This window comes from Homo sapiens, chromosome 7 (genome assembly GCF_000001405.40).
Source record: "Homo sapiens chromosome 7, GRCh38.p14 Primary Assembly".
In the NCBI taxonomy this organism is placed as follows: Eukaryota; Metazoa; Chordata; class Mammalia; order Primates; family Hominidae; genus Homo; species Homo sapiens.
Genome location: NC_000007.14, coordinates 32,962,523 through 32,980,811, shown reverse-complemented (window position 1 = coordinate 32,980,811; position 18,289 = coordinate 32,962,523). Strand labels below are relative to the sequence as shown.

Here is an 18,289-nt window from a genome sequence, read left to right as displayed (position 1 = left end):
AGAAAGCCACGATCATGCAGCTGCACTGCACTCCACACTGGATGACAGAACGAGACCCCGTCTCAAAAAAAAAGAAAGAAAGAAAGGAAGGAAGGAAGGGAGGAAAGAACTAAGTATCAGAAAACAGAAACTTGTATTAGAGATGAAAATGCCAACTACAAATCAGCATGGACAGAGTATTTAAATCATGGTCCAGCCAATGGCAGACTTTATTTAATACAATGTTCTGGCAATTGAAGACTTTAATCATTTCCTTACCTGGAATCAAAGAGGGTGCCATCCAGAAGCGTGCCATTGTAATGATACCTGAGAAAGTCCCCACTTTGACTTATCCGCTCACAGTTTTCAGGTACTACCTTGTTCTCAATGGAAATGCTGTCCTTGGGGTTATGGAGGTCCAATAATGCAACATCAAACACCAGAGATGCCTGACCGGGAATGTCTTTCCCTAGAATGGAATGGGAGAAGATGATTAAACGGGACACAGGATTTAGGAAGTACTTTACAACTCAACAGGCTTGGGGTTGGTGTTATTCATTTCTTGAGGTTTTGAAGCCAAGGAAACAAATGTTCTTCCAGGTCTTGAATGGGCCCCCATGGTGTCCAACCATGGGCTGATGGTATAATCTAAAACCTGACTCAGCAAAAGGAGAAAATTGGTATTAATGACATAAGAGACTACCATGACCATATTTTCTGGACTCATGCTGGAAAATCAAGGCTTTATGTAGGTGGGCAGGCACCCACAGGCAAACCCAAATACATACCTCTGTGGGTTTCTGTTTGTGAATAAATGCAAACCACAGACATTTAAAGGAGAAAATTCCAAATCTCTGGTCTGGTTCTGGAGAACTGTACACAGACTTGTTCTTTGAAACGAACGGCCAATTTTTTAGAGGCAAAAAGTAAAACTCAATGCTTTAAGTATATCCAAAGCAAGATATAAATAAGATGAAAGCAGAATAACAGAGAAAAAAATGGCACCCACAATCCAAAATATAAATAAATAGTCCTCAAATCACTTCTATCTCACTTCTGGGTAGTACTGCTTCTCTTGGATGTTCCTGCCAGTGGGAATATTTTGAATATCTGCAAAATGAAATCCACATGAAGAGATTACAGGACACTAGTTCTTCCTGCAAAGATCAACATCAACCAATAAATAACTCAAAATCCAGTAATTTGGGATAGTAGAAAGTTAACCAACAAACCAATCCCTCAGTTTTACCTGCCATTTGTTATATCATGCAAAGGAGTAGGCCCAGACAAGCAAACCAGATGCCGCCAAGCCTGAGCTCCTTCCACTGGCCTTTGGCAAAGCCCACCCTGCATCTCCTTCCCATCCAAGGAATGATGAAATCTGCTGAAAGCCGGCTGCTGAGTCAGCCCCTGGAATGCAAGGTGTGGTCAATCCCTAAATCGCATGCGTGGGAGATAGAATATTAATCTTTTGTGCCTTACTGTATCTTTTCATTTAAGAGAAAAATGAAAGCCTTAAAAGTAACCATGGGGTTTAAATTTTTCTTTTCTTTTTTTTTTTCTTGAGACGGAGTCTCGCTCTGTTGCCCAGGCTGGAGTGTAATAGCTCAATCTTGGCTCACTGCAACCTTCGCCTCCTGGGTTCAAGCGATTCTCCTGCCTCAGCTTCCCGAGTAGCTGGGATTACAGGCACCTGCCACCACGCCTGGCTAAATTTTGTATTTTTAGTAGAGACGGGGTTTCCCCATGCTGGCCAGGCTGGTCTTGAACTCCCGACCTCAGGCGATCCACCCAAATCAGCCTCCCAAAGTGCTGGGATTACAGGCGGCAGCCACTGCGCCCGGCCTGGGGTTTCAATTTTTCTAGCATTAATGTGTACTAAATGAATAATGTTTTCTATAGCAACTTTGCAGAGATATAATTCACATACCATACAGTTCACCCATTTAAAGTTATACTTGGATAGCCGAGCACAGTATTCAAGTATAAAGTATTCAAAAATAACTACTCTAAATAAGCTATTATTTATTTAAAGTAAAGAAATAATATTTCTCATATTAGGCTCACATCTGGTTTTGTTATGTGGCTGATGACAAAAGGATCTGGGAGCCAACGTGAATGAACTTCTTGGGGCCAAGGACAAGACCATTTGAACATCAATAAGAAAACAGTAACTGCCAGGCACAGTGGCTCCCACCCGTAATCCCAGCGCTTTGGGAGGCTGAGGTGGGAGGATCGCTTGAGTCCAGGATTTCCAGGTAAGCCTGGGTAACGTAGCGAGACACTGTCTCTAAAAAAACTTTTTTAACTAGCCAAGCATGGTGGCACACGTCTGTACTCCTAACTATTCGGAAGGCTGAGGCAGGAGGATCACCCAGGAGTTTGAGGTTACAGTGAGCTATGATGGTGTCACTCCAGTCTGGGTGACAGAGTGAGACCCTGTCTCTAAAAATAATAATAACAGTATCTTATATCTCAGTGGGGGGGAGAATTAAGACATATTTATGGCACTGCTTTAAACTTTATTTTTCTTTTAGTAGGGAATTCCACCCCTAATGCTCTGTTTAAGAAACCATCTGCAGATCCCCAGCATGTAAAATATATAAAAGTGGGCCAGGCACAGTGGTTCACACCTGTAATCCCAGCACTTTGGGAGGCCGAGGTGGATGGATGGCTTGACCTCAGCAGTTTGAGACAAGTCTGGCCAACATGGCGAAATGCTGTCTCTACTAAAAATACAAAAATCTGCCAGGCATGGTTGCATACGCCTGTAGTCCAAGCTACCCAGGAGGCTGAGGCAGGAGAATCTCTTGAATCCAGGAGATAGAGGTTGCAGTGAGCCGAGATCGCACCACTGCACTCCAGCCTGGGCAACAGAGTGAGACTCTGTCTCAAAAAAAAAAAAAAAGTGTATATATATATGAGTATATATATATGAGTGTATATATACATATATATATATGGGCATGTATATATATATATGAGTGTATATATATATATGGGCGTGTATATATACATATATATATATAAGTATATATATATATATGGAGATAGAAAGGAGAGAAGGCTGAGCCCCATCACCTCAGGCTCCCTTCTGCTCCTGCTCCGCTCCACAGAGCCAGGAAAAAACGTTGAAAACATATTGGCTATTGTAAGCTGGCTATCACTATCAGTAAACTTCTTAAGAAGCATCATGTTCTCATTTATATCCTTAACTACAAAATCATGTGCTGCACAATGAAGTTTTGGTCAACAACAGACCACATATATGAGAGTGGTCCCATGAGATTATCATATCATGTCTTTACTGTACCTTTTCTATGTTTAGATACACAAATTCTTACCATTGTGTTACAGTAGCTCACAGGATTCAGTACAGATGCTGTGCAGGTTTGCAGCCTAGAGGAAACAGGTTACACCACACAGCCTAAGTGTGCAGCAGGATGTAGCACCTAGGATTGTGTAAGTGCACTCTATGGCATTTGCACAACAATGCAATTGCCTAATGATGCCTTTCTCAGAACATATCCCCATTATGAATCAACACATCATTGTATCCATCTGCTGTTTAAATGTCTACCGGTCTCTATGTTGTGCCAGCATGTCAATATGACTAAACGCACCTGAAATTCAAACATGAGTACCTGAGACATTCCATTTATCAGTCAATATTATGTGTTTTCCTTCACAGTAAAACTACAAACAGGACACTAGTTGTAATTAATGTGTTTTCTAACATTACACTTTGCTTTTGTCCATATGGAGTTAATGCCATAGGTAAAACTCATCATAGAGGTGCAAACGGGGAAATCTGGCAATTCTGACATTGTATGGCTAAATTTCTACCTGGATATCTGCAACTTTTATAGTGTCTAATTCAAGTCTCATTTCACAAATGTTAAAGCCAGAGAGGTTGGTGGCCAAGGCCATGGCAGGTACAACAGGGGCAGAGGGGGTTACTTATGAATGCCAATGACTATAAGTAAGTGGAAATTTCTGCAACTCAATCATCAGACAGCAGACAATCCAGACTAGCACTGTCAAATAGAACTTTCTGAGTGATGGAAATGATCTGGGTCTGTATCTGCACTGTCCACTATGGTGGTCCTCAGCAACGTGAGGCTATTGGGTACCTAAAATGTAGCAGTGTGACCAAGGAACTGAATTTTAAATTTTAGCTAATTAATAGCCACATGTAGCTAGTGGTTACCATATTGGCCAGTGTAGGTCTAGACCGAAAGGTCTAGTGGGTTTCATGTGGTGACAACTGAATTAACCACTGCAATAAAAATAAGGGTAGGAAAGAGTGGCTCCAAGAAGGAGACGGACTTACCATCTCCATCCTCTCCATAGGCCAGAAAAGGAGGAATGGTGATGATGCGCTTCTCACCCACACACATCCCCAGCAGCCCTTTATCCATTCCAGGAATCAGCCAGCCAATTCCCACATACGTGTCATATGTTTTCATGCGATTGTGACTGAAAGGTAATGAGAAAGGGAAAAAGTTCCACACCATGAGGATATTTCCAACTCATCTCTCCGTACGGTTTTTCTTACCCAAATATCAGCTAAACGATGATCCCATACCCATCCTAGAGATAGACATTTATGGATCTTTTCCCCCAAACACAGGGCAGATGTCCTCAAGTTTAGAAAGAAATAAAAAGCATGCATTTATACTAGTGATAGACAAAAACAGGCCAGCTATTCCACTAATCAAACACGCTCTAATGAGAAGAAATTGCGAAGGGTTCCCTGATCTCCCGTGTAGCCCCATGCCTCTCCATAGCTTCACATACATTCATCTTTTCCCTCTTGCTTCCATGGGAAAACTATAAAAAGGAACCAAAACGTGCATAAGCCTCCTTAGAAATAGAGACTTACACGGCCGGGTGCAGTGGCTCACGCCTGTAATCCCAGCACTTTGGGAGGCCAAGGCAGGCAGATCATGAGGTCAGGAGATCGAGAACACCCTGGCTAATATGCTGAAACCCCGTCTCTATTAAAAATACAAAAAATTAGCTTGGTGTGGTGGCATGCGCCTGTAGTCCCAGCTACTTGGGAGGCTGAGACAGGAGAACCGCTTGAACCCAGGAGGCAGAGGTTGCAGTGAGCCAAGATCGTGCCACTGTACTCCAGCCTGGGTGACAGGGCGAGAATCCATCTCAAAAAAAAAAAAGAAAGAAATAGAACCTTTCACTTAATGATGAGATCTCAAAATACTGTTAAGTTAGATAAACACTGCTCTTCAATGTTTCTAAGATGTATTAAAATTTTGACTCTGGCACCAGAGAAGATGCAACACTGACCAAAAGTCTTAAGTAGATGAGTTCAGTACTGATTACAGTTGAGAAGAGTCCTTATTCTGGTATCCCCATCAGCATAAAAAGCAAGTAAGACAGAAGGAAAGAACTATGCATGGGACATTTCACTGATACTGCCATGAACGACAGGACTTACCTCGAATCAAACAGAGTTCCGTCCAGGAACGTCCCGTTGTAGTGGTACCTCACAAAATCAGACACCTGGATGGTCCGAGGGCAACTCGGGGGCTTGAAATAGGTGTGAATCTGAACCTGGTCTTCAGAATTCCAAATATCCATCAGAAGTACATCAAAATGAAGCACTGAATTGGGGGGGATCACACCAGCTAGAAATTAAAGATTACACACTGAGTTCACAGTTGCTGCCTTTCAGGCCAGATAAATAAACACCTAGGATGCTCCCAAGGTGAATGTGGGCCAAAAGGGTTCAAGCAGTCACCGCTATACAATCCCAAAATGACCCATTCTTCCTCCCTCTTTCCTCCAAATGAAATTGAAAGAAAAGAGAAAAAACAGTCTTCTTCTCATTGAGGGTATCATTCAGTACATCTGTGTTAATGACACTTTCTTTCACATCTAGAAGAAATAAACCTAAGATGGAAATTTTAGCTGTGTATGAGTTCACTGCTTTTCATTTTCCCCCAATCTAAAGCTTCCAAGATTCTCCAGTCTGTTTGACTTAACATCCTAAAAGTGTTCTCATTGTTTCTGCTGACGTGTTTATAAACGAGGAAGAAAAGCTTACAAACTCCTTCATTTCCGTAGGCAAGCTTTGGGGGAATCTTCACGAAACGTCTCTCGTTTACGCACATCCCAACAAGAGCCTGGTCCATCCCTGTGATCAGCTGTCCTTTTCCCACAAACACATTGAAAGTGGAGTCTCTGTCATAGCTGAAGGCCCAAAGGGTAGGGAAAGAGAAAGAAAAGTATAAATAGTCCCTTCCTCAGTAAAAACCAACCTGTAAAAATGTGCCCACAGATGTAATGGGGCCATAGCAAAGCAAAAACCCTGCCTAGGAGTTACTGATACAGGAACATCTCCACTGGACAGTACTTGTAGGGTTGGAAATTTTAGACTACCTTGAATATTGCCAGCAAATCTAGTTCAATAAGAATCAGCATAACTCTCTCCAAAAAAAAAAAAAATGTGTTAAACTGATTTTGCAAAATAGTTACCTATTCTTTCACACACACAAAAAAGAAAGAGTTGGCTGTGGTCAGGCCAGGGCTTTGGAAGGCCAAGGCAAGAGGAGTTAAGTTGAAGTTAGGAGTTCGAGACCAGCCGGGGCAACAAAGTGAGGCCCCCCCGCCTCTACTAAATAAATAAATACATATAATTAGCCAGGTGTGGTGGTGCATGCCTATAGTCCCAGCTACTTTGGAAGCTGAGGTAGGAGGATCGCTTGAGCCCAAGAGTTTGAGGCTGCAGTGAGCTATGATTGCACCACTGCACTCCAGCCTGGGCGACAGAGTCTCAAAAAATAAAATAAAATAAAATTTTAAAAAAAGACTTTACAGCCAGGTGCAGTGGCTCACGCCTGTAATCCCAACACTTTGGGAGGCCGAGGAGAGTGGATCACCTGAGGTCAGCAGTTTGAAACCAGCCTGGCCAACACGGTGAAACCCCATCTCTACTAAAAATACAAAAAATTAGCCAGGCGTGGTGGCAGGCGCCTGTAATCCCAGCTACTCGGGAGGCTGAGACAGGAGAATCACTTGAACTCGGGAGGCGGAGGTTGCAGTGAGCCAAGATAGCGCCACTGCACTCCAGCCTAGGTGACAGAGCAAGACTCTGTGTCAAAAAAAAAAAAAAAAAAAAAAAAAACAACAAAAAACTTCATTTCATTTTCTATATGATTGGTACCTAAAAGCAACATCATAGGTACTAATGGCCAAAGTTAACACACACACACACACACACACACACTTGATTTTTTTTAAAGTCATCCAGCTAAGTTAAACACAGAGGCAGCATGATAACAGCATAAAACATACTTAAACTCTCTTAACCTCAGTTTCCTCCACTGCAAAATGCAAGAAATAATAACAGCCTCCCCAGGATCTGTGTAACAACGTGAAAAATGCTCTGAAAACCTAAGTGTTATGCCAATATTGCTATAATTATCACAGGTAATAGAAAGTATGATGTAGTCTTAGGATCACTAATATACGTGTTTTAAAGGCTGATAGGCAACAGCCTTAGATCAAAAGATAAATAAGGAAATCATGGCTGTGACTCACACCTTTATCTTCTTCAATGTCAAATTTAGCAATCAACAGGGGTTTGCCTATTAGGGGACTGTGCCAGGTGCTTTGGGGGATATAAAGTACAAGGCATGGACTTTGCCTACAAGTACCTTATATACTGATAGAGACCCACAGGGTTTCAGAAGACATAAAATAAAATGCTCTATGGCATTTTATAACAGATTTTTACTCACTGACGCGGAGGGATATATACAATAAGAGTAAAGGGCAGGTTACAATGCCAGGCGTGGTGGCTCATGCCTGTAATCTCAGCACTTTGGGAGGCCAAGGACGGTGGATCACTTGAGATTAGGAGTTCGAGACCAGCCTGGCCAACATGGTGAAACCCCATCTCTACTAAAAATACAAAATTAGCCAGGCGTGGTGGTGTGCACCTGTAGTCCCAGCTACTTGGGAGCCTGAGGTACAAGCATTGCTTGAACCTGGGAGGTGAAGGTTGCAGTGAGCTGAGATGGTGCCACTGCACTGTCATCCAGCCTGGGTGACAGAGTGAAACTTTGTCTCAAAAAGGGTGGGGGGGGAACAGGTTAACACAGTATAAAATCACTCCGTTTTCAACTTACATATATAGATGCATATGAAAAAATCCACAAGGCAATACATGAAATATTATCTATCATCTACAGGTAGAGGACTTCAGGTGACTGAATTTGTTTTCTCTTTAATTATCTTACTTTTCAAAATGATAATGTAATTAATTATGTAATAAAATGTTAAGAGCTGCTGGGATTTACTTCATGAGAATGCGTCACCCTTCATTTTGCAACATATTTTCACTTTTTCCTCTTTTTCCCTAATGAACAGTTTGGGCGAGCAACAGAGTCCACCTCACCACTCCCCTCAGGGCAGCTTCCTGAGACCTGGCCCTCTTCTCCCTCTCCTCCTAGTTTTACAGCCTATTTTAATAAGTTTCCTTTCTTCAAGGTCAGTGAACAGAAAGCAAGATTTCAAGTACAGGCCAACAAGCCAGAGGACAAAAGCACATGGCCAGTTGTGTGCCCAAGTCAGCTTTACACCTCCACCCTCTACCTCCGGGGCCCCAATCCCCACCCCCTGGAATGCCTGCTCTTGAATTACACTTGGCTGGGGACTCGCCCTGCCACTAAGCTATCATCAAACTGGCAGATTTATTATAATAATGGGCCAGAAAGCAAGACTTCAAAGACTCCCAAGCACAGAACACAGGCAAGCAGCAACAATGCACCGGCAAGAAACTACTTTAAAAATATTTTTTTCATTCACAGAACCAGAATATACTTCCTAAATTTAACAAAACTTTTTAATACTAACTACTGTTTACAGAGTATCTATTATTTATTGGGCACAGTAGCAAACTAAGCTCTTCAATATATACTACACCATTTAATCCTCATACAATACTTCAAGGTGGGTGCTATGATACTCAGGCTCTTTGGAGATTACAAAATTTCCCAAGCTCATGAAATTAAACATGAGGAGGGAAAAAAGCAAGAATCTAGGACCATCTCAATCTCACACTCCAGGGTCAGGGCATCCCTAGAGGTGTATAGAAACAGTTGTTGCCCAGCTTGGGCAACATTGTGAAATCCCATCTCTACTAAAAATACAAAAAATTAGCTGAGCATGGCGGTATGTGCATGTGGTCCCAGCTACTTGGGAGACTGAGGTGGGAGAATCGCTTGAACCTGGGAGGCAGAGGCTGCAGTGAGCCAAGATCATACCCTGGCACTCCATCCTGGGTGACAGAGTGAGATCCTGGAAAGAAAGAAAGGAAAGAAAGAAAGGAAGAAAGGAAGAAAGAAAGGAAGAAAGGAAGAAAGAAAGAGTTGTTGCCTCACAGTATTAACTTCTTCATTTGATGTCGCCTAAGCACTGTGAACAATTAAGCACCAAAGTGCTAAAAACCAAAAAATCTTTCTGAAAGAAAATGTATACATTTATATAAGAGGCTAACAATGCAAGACCAGTCTTATCTACTGCTTAAAATTCTGACCATCTGGAAAAATAAAGTTGTTCTGAACAAATTTATTCTGATCAGCACAAATGGCACAAACTCATGGGCAGCATCAAGCCCAGAACTGGTCATGAAAATTACTTCTGCACACTCTGGAGTAAGCATTTATACAACCTGTCCTGGGATCTGGCTTATTTACACCTTTTACAGGCATCTCATTCAGGGGCCTGCAGGAAACAGATGACACACCCAAACGAAGCTGTTCCAGGAAAGTTTAATAATGGGGTTGTGCACAGCTGAGATCATAATCAATGGTGAAAAACTGAAAGGTGTTCCCCTGTGATTGGGAACAAGGAAAAGATGCTTGGTTTCAACACTTCTATTCAGCATGGTCCTGGAACTCCTAGCTAGAGCAATTAAGCAAGAAAAAGAAATACATGGCACAGAAATTGGAAAGGAAGAAGTAAAAATATCTCTTTTAACTGACAAAATAACTTTATATATAGAAAACCCTATAAGAGTCCATAAAAAAAGCTGTTAAAACTAATAAACATTGGACTTGATGGTTCTGTGGGGGAAAAAAAAACAACTAATAAACAAATTTGGCAAAGTTGCAGGATACAAAATCAACACCCCAAAATCAGATGCATTTCTATACACTAATAATGAACAATCTTAAAAAAGGAAATGAACAAAATAATTCTATTTACAATAGCATCAAGAAGAATGAAATACTTAGGATTAAACCTAACCAAGGAGGCAAAAGACTACAATGGAAACTAGAAAAACATTGCTGAAAGAAATTAAAGAGGGCCAGGTGCAGTGGCTCATGCATGTAATCCCTGCACTTTGGGAGGCCAAGGCGGGCGGATCACCTGAAGTCAGGAGTTTGAGACCAGCCTGGCCAACATGGTGAAACCTGTCTCTACTAAAAATACAAAAATTAGACAGGCGTGGTGGCATATGCCTGTAATACCAGCTACTCGGGAGGCTGAGACAGGAGAATCGCTTGAACTTGGGAGGTGGAGATTGTGGTGAGCCGAAATTGCACCACTTCACTCCAGTCTGGGCGACAGAGCGAGACTCTGTCTCTAAAAAAAGAAAGAAAGAAATTAAAGAGGACACGAATAAATGGAAAGACATTTCTCGTTCATGGATGGGAAGACTTAATATGGCTAAGATGTCCACACTAACCAAAGCAATCTATTGATTCAATGCAATTCCTACCAAAATCCTGATGGCATTTTTTGCAGAAATAGAAAAAAAAAAACTAAACTAAAATTCATACGGAATTTTTTTCTTTTTTTGAGATAGAGTCTCACTCTGTCGCCCAGGCTAGAGTGCAGTGGTGCAATCTCGGCTCACTGCAACTTCTGCCTCCCGGGTTCAAGCAATTCTGCCTCGGCCTCCTGAGTAGCTGGGATTACAGGGGCCCGCCACCATGCCTGGCTAATTTTTGTATTTTTAGTAGAGACAGGGCTTCACCATGTTGGCCAGGCTGGTCTTGAACTCCTGACCTCAGGTGATCAGACTGCCTCGGCCTCCCAAAGTGCTGGGATTACAGGTGTGAGCCACGGTGCCTGGCCTTGGAATCTTGAAGGACTCTAAAGAGCCAAAACAATCCTGAGAAAGAAGAACAAAACTGGAGGCTTCACACTTCCTGATTTTGAAACATATTATGAAGCTATCATAATCAAGGCAGCATGGTACTGACCCAAATACAGACACATAGACCAATAGATCAAAATAGCCCAGAAATAAACTTTTGCCTATATGGTCAAATGATCTTTGACAAGGGCTAAGGCTACACAGTGGGTAAGGATGGTCTCTTCAATAAACGGTGCTGGGAAAATTGGATCTCCACATGCAAAAGAATAAAGTTGGAGATTCTTACTTTATACCATAGGAAACAATCAATTCAAAATGGATTAAATGCATAAATATAAGATCCAAAACTATAAAACTAGGAAAAAAACACAAGGGAAAAGCATCATGACATTGGATTGGATATGACACCAAAAGCACAGGTAACAAAAACAAAAACAGACAAAGAGGACTTTGTCAAACTTTAAAACTCTGAACAGCAAAGAAAACAATCAACAGAGTAAAAAGGCAACCTAAAAAATGGGAGAAAATGTTTGCAAACCTCATATATGATAAGGGATTAATATCTAGAATATATAAAGAACTCCTAAAACTCAACGACCACAAAATAATCCAATTTTAAAATGAGCAAAGGGATTGAATGAATATTTCTCCAAAAAAGATATACAAATGGCCAACAAGCGAATGAAAAGATGCTCCACATCACTAAACAGCAGAGAAATGCAAATCAAAAACCACAATGCAGGCCAGGCATGGTGGCTCATGCCTGTAATCCCAGCACTTTGGGAGGCTGAGGTGGGCGGATCAACTGAGGTCAGGAGTTCAAGACCAGCCTGGCCAACATGGCAAAACCCCGTCTCTACTAAAAATACAAAAATTAGCCAGGCATGGTGGCATATGCCTGTAATCCCAGCTACTCGGGGGGCTGAGGCAAAACCCCGTCTCTACTAAAAATACAAAAATTAGCCAGGCATGGTGGCATATGCCTGTAGTCCCAGCTACTCAGGGGACTGAGGCAGAAGAATTGCTTGAACCTAGGAGGCAGAGGTTGCAGTGAGCTAAGATCACACCATTGCACTCCTGCCTGGGCGACAAAAGTGAAACTCTGTCTCAAAAAAAAAAAAAAGAAAGAAAAAGAAAACCACAATGCAATATTACCTCACACACACTTGTTAGAATGGCCACTATCAAAAAACTGGAAAATAAAAAGTGATGGAGAGGATATGGAGAAATTGGAATCTTTGTGCACTTTGATGGGAATGCAAAATGTACTTGCTCTAGAAAATGGTCTGTAGGCTCCTCAAAAAATTAAAAATAGAAGTACTGTATGATCTAGCAATCCTATCTCTTGGTGTATACCCAAAAGAACTGAAAACAGAATCAGGCCGGACGCAGTGGCTCATGCCTGTAATCCAAGGTTGAAGCTTGAGCCCAAGAGTTCAAGACCAGCCTAGGCAACCTGGTGAAACACCATCTTTACAAAAACACAAAAATTAGCCATGTGTGGTGGTGCAAAGGTACTGTAGTCCCAGGTACTCGGGAGGTTGAAGTGAGAGGATCACTTGAGCTCAGGAGGTCAAGGCTGCAGTAAGCTGTGATCATGCCACTGCACTCGACCCTGGGCAACAGAACAAAAGACTCTGTCTAAGCTGGGCGCGGTGGCTCACGCCTGTAATCCCAACACTTTGGGAGGCTGAGGTGGGTGGATCACCTGAGGTCGGGAGTTAGAAACCAGCCTGACCAACACGGAGAAACCCTGTCTCTACTAAAAATACAAAAATCAGCTGGGCATAGTGCTGGGTGCCTGTAATCCCAGCTACTCAGGAGGCTGAGGCAGGAGAATCACTTGAACCTGGGAGGCGGAGGTTGCGATGAGCTGAGATCGCACTACTGTACTCCAGCCCAGGCAATAAGAGCGAAACTCTGTCTCAAAAAACAAAACAAAACAAAAAAACCACTCTGTCTAAACTAAAACAAAAACAAAACAACAACTCAGATATTTGCACACACATGTTCAACTCAGCACGATTTACAATAGCCAAAAGCTAGAAGCAATCTAAATGTCCATAGACAAATAAATGGATAAAAAATATGTGGTATACACACACAATGAAATATTATTCCGCCTTAAAAAGGAAGGAAATCCTATCACATGCTACAATATGGATGAACCTTGAGGAGATTACGTAAAATGAAATAAGCCAGTCACAGAAAGACAAATACTGCATGATTCCACGAATTATATGAGGTATCTAAAGTAGTTAAACTCATAGAAACAGAAAGTGGAATGTTGTTATCAGCGGACAAGGAAGAAGGAAAAATGCAGAGAAGTTGTTCAGTGGGCACAAAGTTTCAATTTTGCAAGATGGAAAAATTCTAGAGATATATTGCACAACAGTGTGAATATAGCTAACACTATTATACAGTTCAAAACAGTTACAATGGTAAATTTGATGGTTTTTTTAAAGTAATAACAAAGTGGGTGTGTGCAAAGGTGTGTACAGAACACAGCAAAACACAAGGGATAGTACCTCTGTGGCTGGGTGGGGAATGCTGCTATCACACCTGAGCTTGAATGACAGAGACAGAGAGGGCAGCTAGGGGTTACCTGACAGGAACCGGGCCCTTTAGTTTAGGGCCACAATCCATGGTGACCCTACAGACAGGAAGCCAGAGGAATACATACCTTCACCTCACTCTCTTCCCTCGCTTTGAACATCTGATGCCTGATAGGGTTTGGATCTGTGTCCATGCCAAATCTCATGTTGAAATGTAATCCCCAGTGTTGGAGGTGGGGCCTGGTGGGAGGGCTTAGCGCCATCCCCTCGGTGATGAATGAGTTCACAGATCTGCTTGTTTAAAAGTGTGTGGCACCTCCCACCCTCTCTCTTGCTCCTGCTCTTGCCATGTGAGATGTCTGCTCCCCTTTTCCCTTCCACCATGACTATAAATCTCCTGAGGTCCTCACCAGAAGCTGACGACAGCATGCAATGCTTCCTGTACAGCCTGCAGAACTGTGAGCCAATTAAACCTCTTTTCTTATAAATTACCCAGCCTTGGGTATTTCTTTCCAGTGATGCAGGAATGGCTTATCACAATGTCCCAATGGCTGAACCCAACCAAAGCCAGAAGACAAAGAGTCATTAATGCAACCCATACTATGCACATGTAGTCCATACATGTCAGCCTCCCAGAGCAAAAAGCAAATGGAACAGGTGAAGGGTGGACCTAGAAAGGCAAATGGAAACCACCTAGCACATCCAACACCCTCCTTTTCTCTCCATCAGCTTGTTTTTATCCCCTTCCATCACTGCCCCAGGGGGGTGATGGGAAAGTTGTCTGTAGCACCCTCTGATGATGCTCTTTAAAATTATTAACCCAAGGACCACTAAGACAAGAGACATCATAGTCAACACACTAAACTGCCTACACAAAAGCTCACATTATATTGGCAACACATTACTTGAGATAAATAACTATCCTCATGGCTATATTCTTTTTTTTTTTTTTTGAGATGGCGTCTCACTGTCACCAAGGCTGGAGTGCAGTGGCACGATCTTGGCTCACTGCAACCTCTGCTTCTCATGTTCAAGCAATTCTCCTGCCTCAGCCTCCCTAGAAGCTGGGATTACAGGCACACGCTACCACGCCCAGCTAATTTTTGTATTTTTAGTAAAGATTTGGTTTCACCATGTTGGCCAGGCTGGTCTTGAACTCCTGACCTCAGGTGATCCACCTGCCTTGGCCTCCCAAAGTGCTCGGATTAGAAGCATGAGCCACCGCGCCCAGCCCCCCATGGCTCTCTCTCTCTCTCTCTATATATATATATGTATGTATATATATATATCTGTACACACATATATATATATATATATATATATATATATATTTTTTTTTTTTTTTTGACATGGAGTCTCGCTCTGTTGCCCAGGCTGGAGTGCAGTGGTGCAATCTTGGTTCACTGCAACCTCCACCTCCCGGGTTCAAGCAATTCTCCTGTCTCAGCCTCCTGAGTAGCTGGGATTACAGGTGCACGCCACCACGCCCAGCTAATTTTTGTAATTTTAGTAGAGATGGGGTTTCACCATGTTGGTCAGGCTGACTTGAACTCCTGACCTCATGATCCACCTGCCTCGGCCTCCCAAAGTGCCAGGATCACAGGCATGAGCCACCGTGCCTGGCCCCCACGGCTATATTCTTAAGGCAGAATGGGGCTTCTAAATGTAGGTTTAAATCTGCAATAAGAACGAGCTTTTAAAAGGACAAATGACAGGCTGGGCATGGTGGCTCAAGCGGTAATCCCAGCACGTTGGGAGGCCCAGGCGGGTGGATCACTTGAGCTCAGGAGTTCGAGACCAGCCTGGGCAACATGGCAAAACCTTGTCTCTACCAAAAATACAAAAATTAGCCAGGTGTGGTAGCATACACCTGTGATCCTAGCTACTCGGGTGGCTGAGGCATGAGAATTGCTTGAACCCAGGAGGCAGAGGTTGCTGTGAGCACCACTGCACTCCAGCCTGGGAAACAGAGTGAGACCCTGTCTCAAAAAGAAAGAAATTAAAAAAAAGACTGCCATATTTTGAGAACCCATAACAGAAGGGAGGCAAAGTAAGGAAGAACAAGTCCACTGGGCACGGGAACTACCCTTTGGGGGCCTCAAAGTTGGTCCTGTCTCACTTGGGCCAACTCAGATGGCTGACTCACAGGGGACCTGCTTGACGTTTGGACTGTGGTCCTGCCACCACCCTTCACGAATGGGACTGAAACTCACCTCCCCACTGGCCGCCTAGCTCCCAGCTGAGACTCACCCCCTCTGCTGGCTGAGTTTCACCACTGAGACTGATCTTACTGCAGACTTGAAAGCAGGGAGGCAGAGTTTGGCTTTTCTGCCTAACACCTCCCTCTCCACACATTCACTCCCAAAGGGGACTCTGGGCTTTCTGGACCCTTTGCCTAAGACTATTTCCCTCAAACAGCCATCTCTACCAGTAGCTAATGAGACATGCCAGGGAGAAAAGAAAAGCAGTTAATGAACTGGCAAACTACCCAGACGGGAAAGTGTGAGAACGCTGCAGAGGAGGAAGGTTAGAGGAGGTGAGGGAGGAGAGAGGGAGCAAGCGGGAACAGAGAAGAAATGAAAGAGAACGCCTCCATTCATAGCTCCTCAGAGAATCAGACCCTGAAACATGAGCTGTTGGCTTGGATGGGCTTTGACCCATTAAAACATCATTAAATGAAAAACTTTGCAAAGCAAAGCAAAATCCATTGCTGTTATGGATTTTTGTTTTTAAGCAACTGCACAAATTAAAATGTCAGATCCCTATAGATGATTCCCATTTTTCACAGGGCTTAGCCCAGTAAAATACCATACAGCCAAATTAAATTGTTAATATAAATGTGTAATTGCTCGCAATGACCCACAAATGAAAATTCAAAGCCACGCTAATAAGTCTTCACCAGGGGTGCTTGGCCAGCTGCCAATGGCCTCAGGAGACCACAGTGAGAAGTAGCTAGGATCTTCCCCTAGTTAGCAGAAACGCACAGGGCTAATGCACGGTAGCAGCCTCCGTTTCAGCACTCTCCTTCTCCATAAAAAGAGCTGCAATGTGCAGTCACACTCTAAACAACTCCTAAGTTAGCATGTCCTGACCTGGCCAGTTGTTCTGACACCACTGACCCTGTCAGGCCCCCCTGACTGCATCCTGGCTGCTGTCCAGCCTACTGGCTCTTCCCTGTGGACCAGTCCTGCTGAAAGGGTGAGCCTGGGCCCCCACTTAGGACCATGTGACTTAACACCCAATAGGGTAGACACCTGCCCCAAGCAGGACCCATCAGATTATTTCCTGGAAACCTAGAAGTGAGAAAGTCCAGTTTGTCGGCGCTGGTGCTGGATCCCAGAGGTCATGTGTGCAGCATGGGGAGCTTATTGGAGCACTCTTTTTCTAGTGGGAGAGAATGAAGCCCCGTTTGCAACCCCTTGGAGAGAGGCAGAAAGTCACCTCAGTCCATGATTCTGGACCCTCACAAGGAATTGGAGATCCTTCCAATAAATTCCCACTCCTTTCTGCTTAAGTCTGCAGGACGGGCTTGTGTTCACCCCAACCCTGACTTGAGGGCAGGGACTTTTGTCAGCTTTATCCTCCGCTGTATCCCAGTACCTGGAATGTTAGAAGCTGGATGAATCCCTGTGTAAAATGAAGCCCCAATGAGGCTGATCTCTAGAATTTCTACTTACACTATCAGTCCATCCACTGAGCACCTCAATCCCCTTACTCCTCTGAACAAAAACCTTCCCTTCACAAGATTCTGAACAGAAGCATATATTCAGGGCAACTTGAATCCATGGGATGAAAAAAAAAAATACCAAAGTCCACAACACCTAGCTCAGCCACCCAGGCCTCCCAAGGACTGGGTTCTCCCACACCCTTCCAGTGCCAGGTCCCCTGCCTCCTGACCCAAATATTGGAGCCTCTCACTGTTCCTTGAGCATGCACTACTCAGGCCCAGACTCTGGTCCACCCCATCCACTCTCTTAAACACACTCCCCGCTTCAAGGAATGAAATCCCATCCATGCTCAAGGCCCAACTCAAGCATCAGCTCCTCCTCAAAGCCTTTCATATGGCTTCAGCAAGAAGAAATCCTTCCTTCCCTGGAACGGGTAGAGGTATCTATGCATAATACTCACAAGGCACTCACTGCATGCTGGCTGCTTTGTGTGAGGCATGAGAGCTCCCCAGTCCAGAATCTGAAGGTCAGTTATATTAGCTGGGTGGCCACTGTCCTCTCACCTTTCTGAGCCTGTCGCCCCACCCTCCCACCCCTCACTCCTACTGCTTTTTCTCCATAGTCCTCACCAACTTCTACTTTACCATATAACTTAAGAGTATGCCTGTCCTCTCACTAGTATGTAAGCTCCATGAGGGCAGAGATTTCTGTTTTATTCACTGTTACATCCTTGGCACCTGCAAGAGTTGGTACTCAGTAAATATCTGTTGGATGAATAAATGAATTCCAGCCTGGCCAAGGTGGCGAAACCCCATCTCTACTAAACATACAAAAATTAGCCAGGTGTGGTGTTGCACACCTGTAATCCCAGCTACTCAGGGGGCTGAGGCACAAGAATTGCTTGAACCCAGGAAGCAGAGGCTGCAGTGATGTGAGACTGCATCACTGCACAC

General features: G+C 43.6%; 1 protein-coding gene across 5 annotated transcripts in view, besides 1 other annotated feature; it reads right to left on the bottom strand.

Moving 5' to 3' along the window:
- Nucleotides 1-18,289, bottom strand: part of FKBP9 (FKBP prolyl isomerase 9) — a 49,489-nt gene that overhangs the window by 26,117 nt on the left and 5,083 nt on the right. For 2 of the 5 annotated variants that reach the window (NM_007270.5, XM_011515115.4), the window contains exons 2-5: nt 6,050-6,195; nt 5,441-5,630; nt 4,313-4,458; nt 259-448 (exon numbers count right to left, since the gene is read on the bottom strand). In NM_007270.5, the coding sequence (NP_009201.2) occupies nt 259-448; nt 4,313-4,458; nt 5,441-5,630; nt 6,050-6,195 (672 nt within the window). Of the gene's footprint in view, nt 1-258; nt 449-1,228; nt 1,356-4,312; nt 4,459-5,440; nt 5,631-6,049; nt 6,196-17,109; nt 17,708-18,289 lie in introns of those variants that run through there. The other 3 variants (NM_001284341.2, XM_047419849.1, NM_001284343.2) reach the window with 3 other exon arrangements.
- Nucleotides 735-1,934: an enhancer, noted in NCBI's record as "P300/CBP strongly-dependent group 1 enhancer chr7:33018490-33019689 (GRCh37/hg19 assembly coordinates)". NCBI's record gives its function as "activates an origin of replication core promoter dependent on BRD2, BRD4, P300/CBP, MED14 and CDK7 cofactors, with strong dependence on P300/CBP, by STARR-seq in HCT116 cells {active_cell/tissue: HCT116}" and the evidence as "EXISTENCE:reporter gene assay evidence [ECO:0000049][PMID:35650434]".